A 21,418-nucleotide genomic window follows, 5' to 3' on the forward strand; every position below is an offset into this window, starting at 1 on the left:
TGAGAGTAGGGGGAAGAGCCCCGTAATTCACAAGGCAGGCTTCTGTGCCCCGCGGTAAACTCAGTTTCACAAAGGGAATTTTCATTATGGTCCTGTGGCTCCCTAACATAGTGGAGGCTTCAGGAGGCAAGTGGTAAAAGCTACCAAAGAAAAAGCTGGACTGGAGCCACTGACGTCATGTCAGTAAATCTGCTGGAGGAGCCCAGCCATGCAGCGCCTGCCAGCCGGCCCCTGCACTTTGGCCTTGCCTGGTCAACTGTTCTTACTGCTTCCTCCACCCCCACCCCACAGAACAGCCTGTGTTTTTTGTGTTCTTTTCCCCCTTTTCCTTCTGTGCAACTGGGCTGTGTTGAAACCCATAAAGGCTTTTGAAAACCACCCCTACTGGTCCTGTGCTTAATGTCTTGTGTGGGGATAGTGGGGAGAACCCAACAATCCATGAATGAGGGAGGCTTTAAAAGTTTTTTCTAGTGGGGACCTCTTTGTGATGAATAAATCCACAGGGAACATCATGGAAAGCAGCCAGAGGTGCGAGCCCCTGGTGCTTAGTACTTTTAAAGAACTTCGCTTTTAAGTCCTGGGCTGTGTGCACATGTGTGTGTGCGTGTGTGCATGCGCACAGTAAAGGACAGAGAAGGCCAGTCAGCACATGGGTGGAAATACAGAATTTCAGCCTTCTAGCAGAGGATGATTTAAGAGAATGAGTTCCAATGCGAGTCCTTTATTACCCATTAATCATTGGTCTGCTCACTCTGAACTCTGGTTTGCAACTGGAACAGTTAAATCTTAAGCTACATGCTTCTGTACATCCTGGATATTTAGAGTCACAACCCCAGATGGGCCTGAATTAAAATATTGCTGTGCTAAATCTATTTTTACATCTAGGGGAATGACATCTAAAAATAAACCTTATCCCACCTGTTATCCACTTTTGGGAAGTTGAAACGCTGTTAAGTCGCAGCCCATGGATTAAGCTTTGATGACGGCTTCCCATGTGATGCCTGCATTCCACTTTTCCTGCCACTGGCATGATGTTTTCATTGTTTCGGTAACCGTTGTCCTCCTGTTTATTTTGCTGTGAATATTCATTTGCAAATAAGAGTGAAGCATAGGTTCAGACTGGTTTTGATTTTCCTGAATCTTAGGGTCAGAAACATATTAAAAGCAGTATCTTATCCATGAATCATGAGATGAGTCAGTTCCTGAAACCACTACAAGCCTCATAGTTCTTGGCTACAAGCAAAGGCAGGAAATCCAGGCTTCAATAACTTCCTTTCCCAGTCCTGGCTATAGCCGCGTTGGTGGTTAGGTTCTGCTGCCTGCCTTTGTAAGCGGTAGGAAGATGTATGTCTGAGGAACAAAGGCACTTGAGTCAATTTACTGAAACTGTTTATAATTTGTGGTCTTGATCTGAATGTCAGGCTGCGTTGGCACACCCTGCTCTGCTGTGCGGCCCGGCACAACTCAGCCAGGAAAGGCGGCAGGCTGAGTCCGGGGAAGTGCCCCAGCAAACACATGGCAAATGTTTCAAGGGGCTTTAGTGTTCCAGTGAATCCTAAAACTAGGGGACATGCAAGCCGACACTAGGCAGAAAGCTCTGGATTCCATATGTATAGTTGAAGTATCGACTCTTTGTTTGTTCTTCACTTGAGAGAAAGGAGAGAAAAAAGAGAGAGAGGGGAGAGAGACGAGAGAACAAACTAACACACTCGCCAGCCTGCCAAGCTCTGGCCTGTCTCTTGCTTTTACTTGCAGTTTACTTCCTTATATACAGGGTCCTCTTTTTTTTTTTTTCCTTTTGCAGTGTTTCACGCCAGTCTTCCTGACTTCAGAATCAGTTTTATAACTGTTTTATTAAATATTTTAAAGAGTAAGGGAGAAACACGAAGTTGTCTCCCAATGTTGGGTCTGCTGTGACTCGTATTTATTTTTCTCCTTTATGAGCAGTGCCCACTTTGTGTACGTACCCAAGTCAGAGCAGAGTTGGGTTGGTGTTTCTGTGTGAAGTTGGGACTCACTGTTGCTTTGTGCTTTACTTGTGAATTTATGAGCTTTTTCAATCTTGAGAAAAATTAAAATTGAGTGTGACTCATTTTCATTTACCAACTCTTACCTTCTTTTTCTACGCTAATTGGTGTTAGCTAGCGTGGGATTTGAGAAAATGGGACTGAAATGAGACCCTTCTCCCCCCTACTGTAGGTTTATATGGAGTCATTGGAAGTTCTGATAGAAGTCTAAAAATAGCATGGGTAGACAAACCCTGTGAAAAGACACTGAGGAAGATGGAAAAAAATTTGAGATGATGAGCAGTTAGATATTGATGCTACCTTTTAAATTGAGCTTGTTTCCAATTCATAGCTGGCAATAGCTCAGAAAGGTCAAATTCTATTTCAGCCTTTGTAAAGAATAAAATAAAAGCAAATGCAAAAGTTTGCCTGGCTTTTTAATCAAGTGTGGCTAATTCAGCGCACAGCCAGGCTGGCGAGGGCCACTTCGTTCTTACTTGTCGTTTGTATTTTGTGTTTGGGTAATTTTCTGTTCAACTTCAGGCCTCACTAAAAGGCTCTGATAAGCTGTTGAGAAAGTCGGGCTCATTTTGATTTTAGAGGCTTGACTGAGAGTCATAATTTCTGGCTGTGGTTCTCCAGATTTCAGGCTGGTACAAAAACTCCTTAGTCTTAGGTGAGTTTCTTTGGAAATCACTGTGAAAATATATTACTCTCATTAACATGTAAATAGTCACTGTCTAAACTTGGAGGAGATTTTTCCTTATGTTAAGAGAGGTACAAATCCAGTTATTTTTATTTGTCCTTCATTGATCTGACAGTTAACTTCTTTTTCATGTAGATTTCAGGCTGGGATTAGAGACTGAATCTTGAATTGCTTATCGTCTCTAGACCAAGTTGTTCGGGGCCAGGGATTGATTAATTAATTAAAATCAATGTAAATGGATTTGTAAGCCTCCTGTAACAGATTATCCTATTAGCAACCACACAGAGCACAGCCCATGATCTGTGAGGAATGTTTGTTGCCTTAAGTGAAATGGACCCAGACTGATGGACTCTTTGGGGTTACTTTATGAAAAACCCAGTGGCTTTTGTAAGGAAGGGGCCTCACTTAACCTTTACACTGAACAGATATTTCCTATAGATGGCAGATTATTTTATTTTCTGAGCCTGCCCCAGAAGGCTTGAGTTCTGTTTGTGTGTTGTGTGAGTTTCTACTGTGCCTGTGTCTCCCCAACCCTTGCATTCATGCCGTCCAAGACCTTGCCATATTTTAGCCAGGTTCTGCCCCCTTTCAGGTGAGATTCCTGCTAAGAACTCTTCTCTGAAGAAAAAAGGAGGAACCAGAAATACATTCCTATTTGATAGCAACAAAGTGGTTTTTTCCTCCAACCCAGGCAACCAACAAGCAAGCAAGCTACAAAGAAGACAGTTGCTTGTTATTTGAGGCTCTGACTGTACAGCTGTGCCTCCTTAGAGTGGTTAAGAAGACAAGATGATACTTTAGGAAAACTTTGTGGATTTAACAAAGGTCGGAGTTCATTCAGTGGCTGTCATGTACATTGTGTGTGTTTTTTTGTTTTGTTTTTGTTTCGTAATTGTGTTGGACAGGTAGATACTTTCTATAGTAGGACCAGCTCACCCACCTTTTCTTGGATCAAAGTGGGGCTATCTGAGCCAAGTTGAGTTAAACTCTGTCTCCTGCCTCTTTTGGGATTGAGATAGCAATCCCAGTTTGTCTTTGATGCTCACACTGTAGTTCAGGGAGACCCTAACTGGGGAGTAGATGTTTGACCCATGGGTATAGAGAAGTGTGGAATAAAGCCACTTTGCAGAGAGACAAGGAAACACAGTTGTGCTGAGGACGAGACAAGAGACCAAGGGAATAGTCTCATTTCCTGATGGTTTTCTATTTCCTGGTTTCCATCTCTTGTGAGGGTTGGCTGCAGTTTCTGATTCAGGGGTCTTCAGATGGACGCCTTGGCCTTATAATGAACTCGTATTCCCTTACCGTTTTTTCCTACCTTAGGTTAGTGGGAGTGGGTTTCTGTTAATTGAAACCAAATGGTGTTTGGCCGACTAGTTTGTTGGGAAATACACCCTGCGTGCTGTCCTAGGGAGGCCCCGTTCAGCAAAGGGAGCTCCATTTGGTTACATGTGCCTTCTGCTTGGTCAGCCATGCAGGGCTGCTCCCCTCAGCAGATAGAGCTGTCCTGGACCCTGTGCTCTCCTGTGTATTGGGTTTGAGGGAACTGACTCCGGTTCCTGGACTGTCTAGCTAACTGGGGAACAAGAAGGGCTACCCACTTCCACCCTGTCTCAGACTGGAACATTTCAAGGCTTGACTTAGTCCTTTCTGCTGCCTGGTGTGCCCTGTGGATTTAGGCTGTGTGGTGCTAGGTTCAAGCATGGCAGGTGAGGAATTTTCCCAGTCGTGCCTGGGGGCACTGAAGAGTTCTGGTTGGCTGAGCACGGGGAAAGCAAGCCAGGTGTGTCATTAGACCTGAGTGTCCTGCCTGGTGGTACCACCCCTCCCTGCCCGCCCATCCCTGAGCAATGTGGAAGGCATGCTGTCAGTGGCCTTTGGCAAGTGCTTCCCTGTGATAAATCTGAAAAATAAAAAGTGCACAGGTGAGTACTTCCTCTGTTAGGGAATCTCGAAAATCAGAGGATTTTATTAGCAAATGGATTATATAGCAAATGCCTTTCTCAAGGAGACCAGTATGGTTGGGGACCCAAAGGGGTGGTGTCAGAATAAAAGCCTGCCCAGAAGGGGGTGCGGTGGCAGTGTCAATAAGCAGGGAGGAAATTTAGATGAGACTTGAGAATTTTAGATAACAGAGTAAAAATTATTTTAGAGGATAGATTTTTTTGGGGAGGAAAACCCCTACAAGTACATTAGCAGATGTACATACATGCAATATTAGTTTGTTGGCATCTTCTACAAATTTGAAGCCATTTTTACTTGAGGCTCAATATAACATGTTTTACTTGTTTTGTTGGTGAAGTTTGGTTTGTATATTTAGGAAGTGGAAATATGGAAACTCTGTGCTTTAAATTGAGAGGGGTACAGTGAAAGAAGGGGGGTATGTAGAAAGTTCTCAGAATAGAGGGCTGGGCGTGGTGGCTCACGCCTGTAATCCCAGCACTTGGGAGGCCGAGGCGGGCGGATCACTAGAGCTCTGGAGTTTGAGACCAGCCTGATCAACATGATGAAACTCCGTCTCTACTAAAAATACAAAAATTAGCCAGGCATGGTGGCAGGCACCTATAATCCCAGCTAGCTGGGAGACTGAGGTGGGAGAATCGCTTGAACCCAGGAGTCAAAGGTTGCAGTGAGCCAAGATCACGCCACTGCACTCCAGCCTGGGCAACAGAGCGAAACTCCGTCTCAAAAAAAAAAAAAAAAGGGCCCTCAGAACAGGGACCAGAGGGGTTTAGACTTTTATAAGTGTGTTTCTTCTGGTCATCACAGATCTAATAAAAAATAACATGTTCATATGATGCTTTAGAGTTGACAGAGCTTTTTCAGTCGGGTAACTCTTTGATCTCTCACAACTTGGTTTGTGCAAGTGAGGAAGCGGGGACCGGGAGGTGAGGAGCCTTGCCGTGAAGCCATGGCTGAAATGCTTCCTGCCATGCCTGCTCCTTCCTTGCTGCGCTCTCTCTTTTTTGGTGGGAGGATTATGTGTTAGGACAAGGCTAGGGGAAAGGTGAAGTGGGGGTGGAGGATGGAGGGCAGGTGGGGTCTGGAGATGGTAAAGGAATTGTTTAAACTACCAGAGCAGATGGGTCTCTCTGCAGTATTCAGAGCACAGGCAGAGCAGGAAGGGACTCAGATGTGGTTTTCAGACCAGTGAATATTTTTGTCACTTAAAGAGGGTTTTTTTTTTTTTAAATATTGATTCCTGCTGTTCATCCTGGATCTTCTAAATCTTAATCACTCATGGTGAAGCTTGGGTGATTGAGTGCTCTGAAACCTTACCAGCTGATCCTTAGGAGTCCCATTTGATTCTAGCCCCGTGTCTCTTTAACTAGAAAAGTTTGAGAATTTAGGTCTCAGCATGTCCTGGGAGCTTATTAGAAATGCATAATATGAGATCCCATCCCAGACCTGCTGAATTAGAATCTGCATTTTAATAAAATTCCAGGTAATTAGGGCATGCGCATTAAGTTTTGAGAAGCATTGCTATAAGATGCTTCAGGGAAACTTCAGGGAGTGTAGCTGGGGTAATTTCACATACTCTTTCCAGGTTTGTTATTTGCCTTTTGACTTACCTTATATAACTTTTTCATGCAGAAATTAGTTGTAAGTTGGATTTATCAGTACTTCCTTTATAGTTTCTATGTTTTTTATTTGCATACTAAAGACTTGCCTATTCAGAAATTACTGGAGAAAAGTCCTCCAATTTAAAAAAATGAAATCATGGTATATTTTATATAATTGGATACGTCTCCAATTTGTTTGGACTGGTATAAGGAGCGAGGTAGGAATCTAGACCCAGTGGCTGGTCACTTGTCTCATCACTGTATCTTTCACCATTTATTTTTTTTCATTGGTTTCTTCATGGATCCACACACTAAATTCATACATGTTTTATTATCCACATGTTGAATTAATTACTGTAGCTCTATAATGTGTATACCTACCTATTTCTCATTACTCTTCTTTTAAAGATTTTTTTTTCCCTAGCTTTTCTCATCGGTTTATTTAATGAATTGTAGAAACCGCTTGTCTGGTTAAAAAAATTCCAGAAGCTGTTTTTACTGGAGTTGTATTACATTTGTAGAATAGTTTACCTCATTCTGTTTTTTAAATAGTTTTACCTTTTCTAAATTATATACACCAATAGTACTTCAGAGCATTTTTCAGTTAGAGTCATGCCAGCCTTTGCAATGGAATTTTGAAACTTATATCTTCTGTGGGGTTATTCATAGAGACTTTCCACTTATTCTGTATCACTGCATCCTGTTTATTTCTCTCAATAAAACTAGTGTATCTGATTTACTCACTAGATTATAAGCCTCACAAGGGAAGTTTCCATGTCTCTTTATTTACCAGTGTAATTGCTCAGTGTCTAGAAAACCTCTGGTACATAGATGCCCAATACATATTTGTTGAATGAATGAAATTTCGGTAACCAGAGACTCTAGCATTGCAGTTGAAGATCGATGACATGTCGAATTGTTTGGATTTGGATCCCAGTTTGAATTCAGTGCACCTTTTGAGATTATTGTGCAGTCTTTTGGGGGAAGTGTTCCTTCTCTGCCATTGAATTGAGGATGGACCTGGGAATGTTTTGGTCTATGAGACTTGACAGTTGGTGTGAATTCATTGTGAAAGTGGAGACTGATGACCCAGCACAGGCGTTGTCAACCCACACATTATTTGGGAAATAATGCTGTGAATCAAATCCCACAACTTTGATTCAACAGCATCTCCCTTTTAGGTCATTCTGGTATTAATTTTTCTTTTAATTAGGAAAAATAAAATATTTCTGCAAAGAACTTTGTACCTTTTTTTCTATAATTAGAGATCCCTTAGATAAATTAGCATCACCCATTTAAGCCCTTTTGTTTTAGGCACAAATACCCAACCTGTGTGCTACTTATGGACAGGAATGGAATCTTCATTCATTTTTATAACTCTTAACAACTTTGGACTTTTTCTTCCATAACTAGAGATCCCTTAGATAAATTAGCATCATCCATTTAAACCCTTTTGTTTTAGGTACAAATACCCAACCTGTGTGCACTTTATGGACAGGAATAGACTCTTCATTCATTTTTATAACTCTTCACCAGGTACTCAAGGTTTAAATAATAAGAGAAACCAAATCATAAACATACAGTACATTCTAAAATTATAAATTAAAAAATGATGTTATACCTGTGGGGTGCAGTGGAAACGAGTTTTGCGTATATTTTAGTTTCTGCTACCCTTTTAAAAGCCACATTGATCTTAGAAACTTTTTTTTCTATGATAGGAGGATTTCTAGAAATTATGCTTCTTAACTCTCATTTATTTTCCCTCACCGTGGTATGAGAAGTGTGGGATATTTGAATGGAGTTGGTCAGTTATTTATAATACTGTTGCTTTTGCTTCCTAATTTATTTCAGTTTTATATTTGGTGTAAAATGAAACTCCCCTAATATTTGAGGCCTTTAATGCATCTGGTGCCAAGTGACTTGATTTTGTAGATTATAAGTAGTTCAGTCGACTGCTTCTTCAATAAAAATTGTTTTGAGAACGATCACAGTCGCTCCACTGCAGATTTTGTGGTCCTCCCCTTAGCTCGCTGTGATGGTCGGTGAGAGAGATTATTTTGGGAAAGACAAAGCACAGAGTCTCCTCTGCTCTAGCACAGTCATGCTTTAGAGTTTAGATTTTGAGCAAAGCCATAGCAGACCCCCTCTGGGACCCCTTTGAATTTTGTGTTTGATTCTTCATGTGTACAGTGTACAATATTTGGAGAGTGTTTGTAAGACCGTTGTGTTTTCTTTAATAAAACTGCATTTATCCTTGTGTGGACAGATTGTGTTCTTAGAGTCTAATTTCTTAGAGAACACTGGGAACTGTTTACTTAGATTTTTTTTTTCTTTCTTTAAATAAAGGCTTCCTCTGGTTATCAGCTTTAAAACTATTGAAAGTCAGCCAAAAAAGTTGGTTGAAGGGAAAAGGCACTATTCTGGAGTGTCTTAAATTTTAGTCACTATATGTTGGGGGTGATTAGGGCTTTTACTTTTCCAGAACCTGTAGCAAACAACAAAACAAAAACTTAGACGTCAAGCCTAAATTTTGCCTTTCTTTTGATCTTGGAAATTGGAGTTTTGGAAAACCAAGCAGGGTAGGCTTAATTAAAGGAGATGCTGTTATCTTGAAGTCTTACCTGAGTGAAGGGGAAAGTTGAGTAATCGGAAGGGTCATGCCGGTGGGTTTTCACTGTCTTTAGTTTCCAAAAGATGCTATGAAATTTCAGTTCATTGTTTGCGAGTGTCTGTGTTGGGTGGTGGGGATTCAGAGAAGAAAAACTGCAGGCTAGTGGGAAAAGGGAGTTGTGTTAAGGGGACCATTCCAGTCTAAAATGGTGAGTGATGTACGGGAGGTGTGGGGCTCACCAGATAAGAGACTTTAAGAGACTTAGAGCTGGGAGTCCTGAGTTCCTTTTGAAGCTAAAATAAATAAAAATTATATAGGGAATAGAAGCTGCTGGTCATTATGATCTCCTGGACTACACTGGGCATAAAAAAGATGACTTTCTATAAGAAATTCTATCCAAAGAGTGGCAGGATTATGCAGGAAATGTCATTTGGTTATAGCCGAAGGCAAACTGATGCAGAGCTGCCTGCCACAGCACTCGCAGGCTGCTTGTCTCATCCCCAGCCCTCTCTGGCTGGCTCCAGGGCCCTTTGATCTGCTCACAGACTGTGTAAATGGAGAGCTGAAGGAGATAGAGCCAACTGATGTTACTTTTCTGTGTACTCCCTTTATCCATGGTGTGCCCAGAAATGGTCAGTTTCCCTCTCAGCACTCAGGGGCCGCCCCTTGAACCAGATCCTCTCTGCATTCAACCCTTGGTGCCATGGCAGGCTCAGGTGTCAGTGGTCCTAGGCTGGTATCAGGCCACAGCGGTGCAGGGTAAGAATGTTGGAAATTGACCCTGCGTGTTACTATCTGAGAACATCGTGGACAACGTTAAGTGGAGTTTGTCTCTCTGGCTCACTGTCCAGACCAGTCCCTCGACACCACTCCCTCTTTATAGCTTCATGACTTCCATCTGTAGAATGCTTTATGTCTTAAATGTACCGTAGCCAAGTTCATGGTCTTATTTGAGCCTCAGGACAATGCCGAGAGTAGAAGGATAAGAATCGTTAGCCCCATTTTAGAGATAGAAGAATTGAGGCTCAGAGAAATGCACCTGGGTGTGCATTTCTGTCTTCACTGAGTGCTTTTGTGGCTGAGCGGCTCCTCCAGCAGCACTGCCTTTCTTCAGGCTGCAGGCTTCCGTGAAACATTTCCCTTTCCCTTCCATGTTCTCCCAAATCAGTTACTTCCTTCCCATTCCCTGGAAGCTACTTCCGTCCTTCTCTCGCCCGGATTACTCTGGCAGCCTCTCAGGTAATCTTCCAATGCCATTGTGTCTCAGCAGGTTAATTAATTTGCTGCATCATCATCACCATCATTATCCGATAATGCACTTACATAGCCATTCTTGTGAACTGGCACTGTTCTTATTGCTTTGTGATTCATTTAATTTTCACAATAATTCTGTGAAGGAGGTAGTAATATCAGCCTCATTTAATGAGGAACTGGAGGCACAGAGAAGTTAAGTACCTTGTCCAAAACTGCACAGTTCTTAGGAGCCACAGCTGGGATTCAAGCCCAGGCCTGCCGGCTCCAGGTTACTTGTTCTGAGCCACTACATCTTATCCTGGGGCTCCCATTCTCAAAGCCTCCTCCCTACCTGCTTCATCACCCAACCAATGAGCGCATTCCCCTTAGCCTGGTGCTTGAGACCTCCCACAGTGTGGTCTCAGTATCAGTGGAGCATAGCATCCCACAGATGGAATCTTTGTCACTTCCTAAATGTGCTGCCCTACTCATAACATTCTCTCTCCCAAAAAAGCTTCCCTTAGCAGAGGATGGGGGCTTTGGTTTTTGGCTCTGCCACTGACAATACATGTAACATAGGATGAGTCAATCCACCTCCCCTAGCTGGACTCCCCTGCTCGGTACGTGGAGATATTATCATAACACTGGTTGGTTGTGAGATATGAGTGACACATAGCAAGTGCTCAGAAATGGGGATGACCTTTTCCATTTGTTTTGCCTGCCCAAGCCTCCCTATATTTTCTTAAAGCACCTCCTTTAGGAAGTTGTCTTGGAGTTCCTCCCTCCTTTACCTGGAGGGATCTTTGCTTTCTTTAGCCCATAAGTGTCTTACAGCCACTTTCACCATCATCCTTCGTTGTTGTTCTTCTTCCTCCTAAACTCTGAGCCCTTGCGGGATACAGGCTGTGACTTGCACATCTTTATATTCTCAGTGCTTTGTTTATAATAGACCCTCAGGATATATCCATTGGAATGAGTGAATTTGGGGCCACTGGAATTCAGTTATTGCATCCCTTGGAAAGCTTGGTGAGTGGTGCCCAGCATGAATTGACCTGCAGGAGCAGCCATCTATTGCCTGTGCTCTTGAGTTCTGCTTTTTATTAAAATTCTTCCCTGCTATAGTTGGAGATCCCCCTCACCTCTTTTTATAAAACACAGGCTCATGGGGTAGTGTAAATTTGCACAACCATTTTCTAAGCAAATTGGCTAAAACCCTAAATTCCCTAGAAGCAGAATGGCCCTGGATGTGCTTTTAAAAAACAGCATGGATTTTAGAACATGGAAAAAGTTATGTTAGAAGAACTAGACTCCTACCAAGTCAGAGATACATATATTTATTTCTTTTTATGGTTATGTTTATTTTCTTTTTATGGCTGAGTTGGCGTTGTGTTTGGTTTGTGTTGGGAGCTCCCCTCCATATACCTAGGCTAGAGGAAGATGACGAATGTATTAGACAAGCCTTCTGCCAAGCACAGGAAGAATGCATCTTAGCCGTTCAGTTTGGTATGTGAAATTTGCCGGAGGGGCCACTGTTTTCCTTCTGAGAAGTTAGACAGAGTTGAAGTGTCTGAGGCCAGTTCACCCCAGTCATAGTAACTGTACAGCTGAGAAAGTCTTGGTTCTCTCTTCCAGCCTCCTGGCCAGTCAACCATGTTCTTCTGTCTCAGCCACTTGCAGCAGCCTTTTTGCCTCTGTGCCTTTGCTTCCACCGGCATCTGCCTGGCGTGCCACTCCTGACGTTCCCCAACTATTGTCCAGCTCTTGCTTCTTTCTGAAGAGAGGAATGTACATCATTTTACAGAAGCCTTCCCAGCTCCAACAGCATAAGAAAACCAAGCCTTCCTTTTATTCCCTTAGTCCTCCATACTGCTGCTCTGTGTTGGCATTAATCACGTTGTCGTCTGCGTGTTGGATTTACCCTATTGTCTCTCTCTGAGCCTCTTGAGGGCAGGAACTGGATTTTATCTTTGTATCCTGCTTGGCATGCAGAAGCTCTCAAAGTGTGCTTGCACAAGTCAAAGGATTGGGATGGGATGATAATAGCTAACATTTACCAGGTGCTGTGCTGTTTTATTCATAGAACTGGGTCTTGGTTCTGGTATTGCTTATTCATTTTTGGCATCTTCAGATTAGCTGGAAGGGTATTGCTACACTGTCAAAAATAAAATACAGTGAAATTTATGCTAATGAAAACATACACCGTGTGTATGCCCAACTCTGTGCTTTGCAAAGTAGACATTCAATGGCTATCTCTGGAATGACTGGATTAATGAATGAGTGAGTGGATGATTGAATGGAAAGAGACTCCATCCTCTGGGAAGGAAAGAAGAATGGAATGGGCTTGACAGCCATACTACTCTTAAAGCTGAACTTGTTGCTTGGCTGGAAGGAGGGATGAGGCAGGAGCTAAGCTGACAGAAGCACTCAGGGAATTCGCATATCCTCTTTCTTGTGATTTCTGTTTTAGGGAACCAACAGGTCTTTGGTACCATCTCCCATTTTTCCAGACCACAAGCTTTTATCTTGTTCTTCAGAATCCTAGAATTTTGCCACCAAGTTTCAGCCTAAAGGAAAATACACTTGTAGCATGCAAGTTCTCACCTCAAAACCTGCGTGAAAATAGTCGGTGTCATTGTAGAGTGATGCAGTGCAGAAAGGGGCCTGGGATGCTTCACCCGGAGAATGAAAGTCCCAAATCTGGATCCCATTTGCTCTTACCATCCACCTTGATAGGAGTGTGGGTGTGGCACCTGTCACCATTCTGCTTGCATTTGTGTGAGTTTATGCCAGGCAAACATGAGTAAAACCAATTCCTTCCAACACTTGACACATAGATAAGTGAAGAAAATTTTATCTTACATTGTGAACACAATGGCAGGTAAGATTGCAGGAATGATGGTTTGTGTACAAGCTATTAATAAAAGTTGTGTGTTGCATATACAAACTTTGCTTTATTGTAGATGGCCTTTTAGTTCGGTGCTATACATGTAATATTCAAAGTGTACATTATATTACCATGTTGTCTTTTTACTTTTATGAGTTATTTGTAATGTGGATAATAATTCTTAGTTCACATCACATTTTGCTGACCACTCAAGGAAAAGTTGAACTACAAATATTTCAAATGAGGTGATAAATTACTGTTGGGTTCTTAATTGTCTGACAAAGAAACTCCATTGTTCTAAACCTTTCAAATATAGTGTGATTACCCTCGTTTGTGTGTCTTGCTCAATTTTAAAGTATAAATAGAGGGAGTTCCATTAAGCAATACAGGCTGTTTTCTTACCATGCTTACAAGGGCTGTTAGAGTATCAATGATGAAATTGAAACTTAGTTTGAACTTGATATGCAAAACAAAATAAATTTGACTCGTTTGAAATATTGCGTAAATATGTTCCAGAGCCTGGCACCAAGTATCTGGGGATTTTTAGAGCTGACCTCACTGAACATTGAATTATAAGATACATTTTAACAGTGTTTTTGAACTGGTTGAAGAAACCCCTCTTCCATTCCCTTCAAGTCAAGTATTTCCTGATAAGAAATATTCTACATTAAAAGAGAAGTTTCCTGTTGCACTTCTTCAGGTTTCTGGGTTAGTTTAATTCAATGGATTCCTGAAGCTGCAAGTGAAAGGTTAAATAGGTACCATTTGCAACTACTTATCTGTGAATCAGAATTTTTTGAATATTGTGTATGCAGAATGAAAGAGAAACATACTTCGTTTGTGATTTAAACTATGTTCTTGAGAACATACTGTAATTTACATAATTCAGATAAATTATCTGTTTTGTATATTGTGGTTATATATAAGGTTTCCTCTGACAGAGGGTGATTTCTGCTGCTAAAGTTGTTTAAAGACATTGCCCTTGATATTTCTAGCTAACAGTGGAGCTCCCAGGTGCAACCTGCTGTGGTTGAATTGGAAACTTGTCACTGAGCTCTTTTCTTACCTGGCTCCTTCTAGGACTTTCAAGATCCTCTGGTGTGGCCGGGCCAGATGGGCTAGCCCTGATGCACATGTCCTTCTACGGTTCATGAGCGTTCCAAGCTTGAGTGGGAGAGTCAGCTTGGGCAGTGGGGGTGATAGTCATATCCTCTCACCATCTCCATAATGGGCCTCTTCTTCCAGGCAAGAGCAGGTGTTATCCCCATTTTACACTGAAGAGAAAACCAAGCTGAGAAAGGGCATGTGATAGGCCCAAGGGCATCTCCTGACCTTGACTAGCACTCTTTTCACCATGCTGTTTTACCCTCGTATGTCTCAGTTGCTGTGCCTAGGAGAAGAGTTCCAGTTTGTAAAACTCTCTCCAAATTGATGGCCAGTTGGAGATTTTTCGGAAGGCTTAAGGGAAAGAAATAGCACTTGTGGGACTTTTTTTTTTTTTTTTTTTTTTTCAGAAGCATGATGCCAGCAGAAGACTTGTTTACTTGTGGTGCTATACTTGTGCGGCTGGTGTTTATCTCACTTTCTATAGAGGAACGCAGTTGATGTCTTCTTTTAAAAACACTAGACCCGAGACCTGGGATCACCCTTCCACTCCTCCTCATGCTGTTTGCTTTGGCATTCAGCCAGCTGCCTGCCTCTATGTGTCAAAAACAAGATCTCCCCACCCAAGGACATGATAGAGCTATCTGCAAGCCATTTTAAGGCACATATTCACGTTTAATGGTGGCACTTGAATTAGTTTTCACAAAGTCTGTGCACCAGAGCTTAACTACCTCACTCTCAGGCCACCTTCTGAAACTTAGTGACATCATTCCTAGGTGATTCTCTCAAGGCTCTGCCTATTTATTCTTCATGCCTTTGCAATTCTAACCTTTTAATTTCTGCTTCTTGTAGCATAAACTGCTAGAAAGTAGGGAAGAGGGTGTCTGCTAGAGAGAGAGAGGGTGATAGCTGATAACACAGGAAAAGATAAACACTATAGTTGGCACATTTAAAAGGTATATTGAACTGGGCTCTTTAGCCCTAATTGCCTTTCTTTTTTTGGAAGGTCAGTACTATTGTCTGGCACAGTAGGACACTGGGCACAGTATGATTGTGATGTTTACAAAGCATCATACTTGTGTCTAGTCAACTCTGTTTAAGGAAACAGGAAGATTGTTAGAAATACTAAAAATTAAATGAAAAGTTGTGATGCTTGAAGTGCTGATTAGTATTCGGACTAAAGTATATGAATGAATAACAATTTTTTCTCTGCAGAGACTGCAGCATGAAATCTCATGCTACATTGACTGGTGGCAGTGGTTTTTATTTCATAGAACTTTCTTTTCTGTTGTTGAGATCTGTGCTGTTGGTGCTGGTTCTGCTTTGGCAGTTCCCAAAGTCCCTTACAGGACAAGAATGATGAGTGGGGATATAAATCTCAATTCCAGCAGCTGCTCACTCACAGGTGTCTCGGTGGAAGAATTGGGTCTTGTTGAGCCTGTAGCTTCTCTCTATATACTGCTGGGAGATGCTGCCTGTGAGTGCCTTGCTTGATATCCAGGTGCTAGGGCTAAGGACCTCTTTGTGGAATAGCCATCTTTGCTTGAGGTCTGTGCAATTGTGTATGCCTGCAGTGCAGTGCCTGGTAAGGCTTTCAAACTGTGGGCAAGAATGTAACAATGCCTGTCACTCGTGAAGAGACACAGTCGGTGAGGTGAGTATGGATTAGTGCCAAGGAAAGTTTTCTGGGTCAGAGACTTTATCCTGCTGCAGGAATTAACTCCATTGATCAAAAACAGCCTTAATTGGGATGGGGCTCGGGGGCAAATTTCATATGTGATTGGCAGGAGTCTAAACTGTATAGCTTTTCTGGAGGGCATTTTGGCAGTGGGGATTAAAGTGTCAAATGTGCATACTCTGTGACTGGACATTTTCACTTCACAGAATTTATCCTAAGGAAAGCATTGTACAAGTATACACAAAAGGGTGTTCCTCCGCACCATAATGTTTAGTGTTGCCATCACCTGGGGCTTTATTAAAAAAGGAAAAGTTACATAAATTCCAGTAAAACCATACAGTGGAATATTATAAAGCTGCTGAAGAAGATGAAGTCAACTTCTATGTACTATTATGGAATGATGGTAAAGAAATTATGTACAAAAGTCACAGATCAGCATGAATAGTGTGATCCTATTTTCAATATATATGTGTGTATTGAGTGCATATTATGTAAAGGTTTATATGCATTAATTTTGGGAGGAAGAATATCAAATGCTAATAGCGATCATCAAATGCTAATAGTGATTATGTAAAGACCCTCATTTTCTACTTCCTACTTCTCTGTATTGTTTGAACTGTTTATAAAGGTAAAACCATAGTAATTTGGGCTGGGTGCGGTAGCTCATGCCTGTAATCCCAGCACTTTGGGAGGCCAAGTGGGGTGGATATCTTGAGGTCAGTTGTTTAAGATGAGCCTGACCAACATGGTGAAACCCTGTCTCTACTAAAAATACAAAAATTGGTTGGGCTTGATGGTGTGCACCTGTGGTCCTAACTACTTGGGAGGCTGAGGTGGGAGAATTGCTTGAACCCAGGAGGTGGAGGTCGCAGTGAGCTGAGATTGCACCACTGCACTCCAGCCTGGATGATAGAGCAAGATTCTCTCTCAAAAAAAATAAAAAAAAAAAACCAGAATAATTTGATGTTTACTTTTTATAGTTTTGTTTCTTTTTTTGAATTTTAATTTTTTTTTAAAGATGTGGTCTTGCTATGTTGCTCAGGTTACACTTGAACTTCTGGGCTCAAATGATTCTCCTGTCTCAACTTCCTGAGTAGCTGATAGTTTCTTTTTCTACTTATTTATTTTAGAGATGAGGGTCTTGCTTTATCTTCCAGGTTGGAGTGCAATGGTGTGATCGTAGCCCACTGTGTCCTTGAACTCATAGGCTCAAGTTATCCTCAGCTCCCCCAAGTAGCTAGAACTACAGGTGCATGCCACTGCGCCTGGCTGATTTTTTAATTTTTATTTGTTTTGTAGGGATAGGGTCTTGCTCTGTTGCCCGGGGTGGTCTTGAACTCCTGGTCGTTAACCCAAGTAATCCTCCTGCCTTGGTTTCACACAGTGCTGGGATTGCAGTTGTGAGTTACCATGCCCAGCCCTGATAGTTTCTTTTTAGAAAGCTGATCAGCATGGGCCCCTTTTTACGTCTTTTAGTTCTTTGACTTACTGGAACTTTTCTGATTTCATTTTTTAAAAGGGACTCTTCTACCTTTTAAAAGTCCTACAACATCTTTTTCTTATTTACCTAAACAGTAATGAGAAAAGAAATAATGAAGTCTTACCAAATTGTTAAAAAAAAAAAAATGGAATTGTAGGCCAGGCACTATGGCTCACACCTGTAATCCTAGCACTTTGGAAGGCTGAGGTAGGAGGGTCACTTGAGCCCAGGAGTTTGAGACCAGCCTGGGCAACATAGCAAGTCCTTGTCTCTACAAAAAATAAAATTAGCCAGGCGTGATGCTTCACACCTGTAGTCTCAGCTTCTTGGGAGGCTGAGGCAGGAGAATTGCTTGAGCCTGAGAGGTCAAGGCTGCAGTGAGCCGTGATCACACCACTGCACTAAAGCCTGGGTGACAGAGTGGGACCCTGTCTCAAAATTAAAAAAAACCCACGAATTGTATATGTGTTCTTTATGAAAATAATGTGACAGATATCATTGGGCATCTACTGTGTGCCAGGGATACAAGGATGAATAAGATGTGGCTCCTGTTATTCAGAGTTCACAGTGAAGTCAGGAGTATAGTTATACCAGTAAATGATGGTTAAACTGGGTGATAAGTGCAAATAGAGGGCGGTACAGTACACACAGTGAGAATAGAGTGGTGCTGGTAATTCATTTATTTAATAAAGAGGGAGCATCTTTATTATAATTTATTTAATCAAGAGCAAGCACTGGCCAGACACTGTTGTAGGCACTGGGATGACACTGTTGTAGGCACTGGGACAGCAGTGAACAAGCAGGTAAGGTCCTGTTCTCATGGAGCTTCTGTTCAGCAAGAGAGAGAAATAGACATGTCATGAAGAGCGTGACCGGTGTGAAGATGAAGAGGAGGATAATGGCAGGTGGGTTGTTGTGACACGTGAGTTAGGGAGAGTAGCTCTTCAGGAGGAGGAATGATGGTATGTAGAGGAGGAGAGAGTGAGTGCTAGCGTCTCCTGGAAGGGGATGGAAGAGATGGAGATGGCATTGCAGGCAGAGGGCCCAGCTGGTACAAAGGCACAGACATAGGATATCTGGGAGGCCCCCGCCATTTTGGGTTTACAGCAAGTTGGGGATGGTGTTTTTAGGACTGTACTGTGAATACCATGTTTAGGAGCTTGGATTGATCTGTTGGTGACTGGCTGGCCTGCTGGACTTTAAATTGGGAAGAGATATGATTGGACTGGTGGTTTAGGAAGTTCCCTCTGACTCTGAGACTGGATTGAAAGAGAAAGACGAGAGTCAGGGTAGTCACTGGGGAGGCCACTGCAGCGGCTCGGGAAGAGGTGATCAGGCCGTGGAAGAGAGGTGGAATGAAGAAATTAGAATGTGCAGGACTGGGTGATTATAAGCCATAGAAATCCTGGCTAGAGCAGGAGTTGGAAGAGATTGAGGTAGTAATGACATAATTCATATTTGTTCATTTAAATCCAGGTTTGTCTAATGCCACTTTAAGATGTTCTCTTAGTAGTCACCAGTGATGTCCTGAGGTCAAACCCTGGTCTTTTAGCAGTTCAGCATCTCCCTGTTGTTTGAGATCTTGCATACTGCAAACCTCCCTGGAGCCTCAGAGACCCTTTCCCCAGGGGTCCCTGGCTGGTGAAGGCCTGAAGACAAGGCCAAGTCCTCTCTTCATTGCTGTCAACATTGTTAGTCCTTTCATGTTCCCTCCCCTACATCTGGGAATGCAGTGAGATGCAGTTTCCCATCTCCTTTCTTGTCCCATAAGACTAGTAAACAGGCCCTTTACCCTCTGGGGGTTTTTTACTGAGAATCAATAAAAGGAAACTGCTAAAGAAGCAAGGTAACGTGGAAGGTGACTGATGTAATAAAGGCAAAGTAGCAAAGATAGCAAGGTAACAAGTTAACAGCTGTAGCAATGAAGCAAGTGTGGGGTCCCTCAGGAGGTTCTGCTCCTCTTACAAAGTCACTGTCCTGATTGCTGGTCCCTGACTCTTGGTTAGGCTGTATCAAGCTTCCTGATCTCATCTTTTATTTCTCAGGGTTGAATGTGCAGAGCCTGCCTCTCTCTTCTCTACTCCTCTTCTCCAGGTCCTCTGCACCTCTTTCTTCATGAAAGCTCCTCAGTCCAGTCCTAGGCACTCAGGGAGTGTCCATTTCTGGGCCCACTTGGATAATTTGCATCTTTTGAGGGACATTCTCCATAACAGTCCCCAACCTTATGGGGCAGTCTTTTTGAAGTATTTCTTCATGGAGTCACCCTTGTCCTCAAATATCTCCCTCTTCTCTGTCCGTCTGCCCGTCCATCCATCCATCCATCCAATAATTTGAGCTTCTTATTGGAGCAAATCACTGTTCTTAGTACTCAGGATATAAAAATAAATTGCCAAGGGACTCTCAGTTTTCTTCCTACCACTCTGACTATGGCCTCTGGAATCTTTGCTGGCATTGCCTCTTCCTGTGAGAACCACTGACATTTTATGTGCACCTACACAGCTTCACCTGCTATCTGTGTGCTGCTGTCGGTGCATGATGACCGCCATCCCAGCTCTGCAATTTACCTTGCTGTGTGGCTTCAGGCATGTTCCCTAAACTCTGTTGCTGCCCTCAGTTGGTAAAATGGAAATGATAGTGTACTTATTTGAAAAGTTGCTTTGCAGATTAAGTTAAATAATGCATGTGAAGTGCTTGGCACATTGGCTGGAACAGATTAAGTACTTAAATGTTATTACCACCACCGCCATCACTACTGTTAGTATTGCTGCTATCACTACCATTCTTTCTGCCCTTGGGAAATATATCAATCACGTGAGAATAATAGGGAGTAAAATGAGAGACCAGACTTTTATCTGGGTGAGAATAAATCAAATCCAGTATCTTTGGGATTGATATGCAAGCATTATGGGGCAATTTTGAATTGACAATTGAGAGGGGAGCCTGTGGGAAGACTTCATTAGGGATAAGTGAGTCTTAAATAGTACTTGGGCCTGAATTGATAAAGAAGAGGCATCAAGTTTAGACCCAAGCTAAGTTGGAAAGGTCTTTAGCCTTCTGTCTAGTAGGAGGGTTCTCGGGTTGGTGACCAGGTACTTCTCAGGTGAACACGGTGGGGCCTGTGCATTTGTTTGTTTGTTTATTTATTTATTTTGAGATAGTCTTTCTCCATTGCCTGGGCTGGAGTGCAGTGGGATGATCATGGCTTACTGCAGCCTCGACCTTAGGGGCTCAAGTGATCCTCCAACCTCAGCCTCCCAAGTAGCTGGGACTACAGGCATGTGCAACCATGCCTGGCTAATATTTTTATTTTTTGTAGAGATGAGGTCTTGTCATGTTGCCCAGGATAGTCTCAAACACTTGGACTCAAGTGGTTTTCCTGCCTCAGCCTCCCAAAGTGCTGGGATTATAGGCATGAGCCATTGTGCCTGTCCTGGGGCTGTGCATTTAATGTGAGGCTCCTCAAACCCGTGCCCACATTGGGGATTGTCTCTAGATTTATTTAATATGCTGCATGTTTATAATTATGCCTGAGTGTTTTCAGATGTCTAAAATGCAAATCTATTCAAAACATTACTAAACATTGTATTAGTTTGTTGGCTCTTAGTCATTAGATATTAAAAGTAGGACTTCTATTACATGGGTGGCCTGTAGAACATTTTGGTGTTAGAAGGGGTTCCCAAACTTGAAAAAGTCAGGAACCACAGAATTTGCCTGATAAAACCAGAAGCAGATCCTGGCAGCATTCTAGCTGGAGGGTACAACCCAATTAAAATGGCTGTGTAATAAAGCGATCTTATATCTCATAGGACAAAAAGTCCAGAGGTACAGTGATGCTAGGGTTAGTTAGAGCAGCGTCTCAGTGACCTCATAGGACCTGGTTGTTCGCCTTTTCCACTCCGCCGTCCTTTGCGTGTCAGCTCTCTCCTCTCATGTTCAGCAAATGGCTGCAGCAGCTCCCGGCATCACATCTCCATACTAATGTCCCAATATATTTGTTCCTGGCCTCACTTCTCTCAGTAAGGAAAGCTTTCCAATTACTGGCCAGCCTTCAGACTTTTCCCTCATGCCTCACTTTGATGAATGGCCTAACTTGCACATTCCTAGATGAAATAGGGCCTAGGGAGTGGAATTCCCACACACAGGTCAGGGATCC

The 21,418-nt window shown here is 42.5% G+C and overlaps 1 protein-coding gene across 1 annotated transcript in view, besides 1 other annotated feature; it reads left to right on the plus strand.

The window, feature by feature from the left end:
- Positions 1-21,418, plus strand: part of TEAD1 (TEA domain transcription factor 1) — a 270,317-nt gene that overhangs the window by 18,203 nt on the left and 230,696 nt on the right. The window lies entirely within an intron of this gene.
- Positions 785-1,984: an enhancer, noted in NCBI's record as "MED14-independent group 3 enhancer chr11:12714955-12716154 (GRCh37/hg19 assembly coordinates)". NCBI's record gives its function as "activates an origin of replication core promoter dependent on BRD2, BRD4, P300/CBP and CDK7 cofactors, and independent of MED14, by STARR-seq in HCT116 cells {active_cell/tissue: HCT116}" and the evidence as "EXISTENCE:reporter gene assay evidence [ECO:0000049][PMID:35650434]".

The sequence above is a fragment of the Homo sapiens genome, chromosome 11, assembly GCF_000001405.40.
Source record: "Homo sapiens chromosome 11, GRCh38.p14 Primary Assembly".
Taxonomy (NCBI): domain Eukaryota; kingdom Metazoa; phylum Chordata; class Mammalia; order Primates; family Hominidae; genus Homo; species Homo sapiens.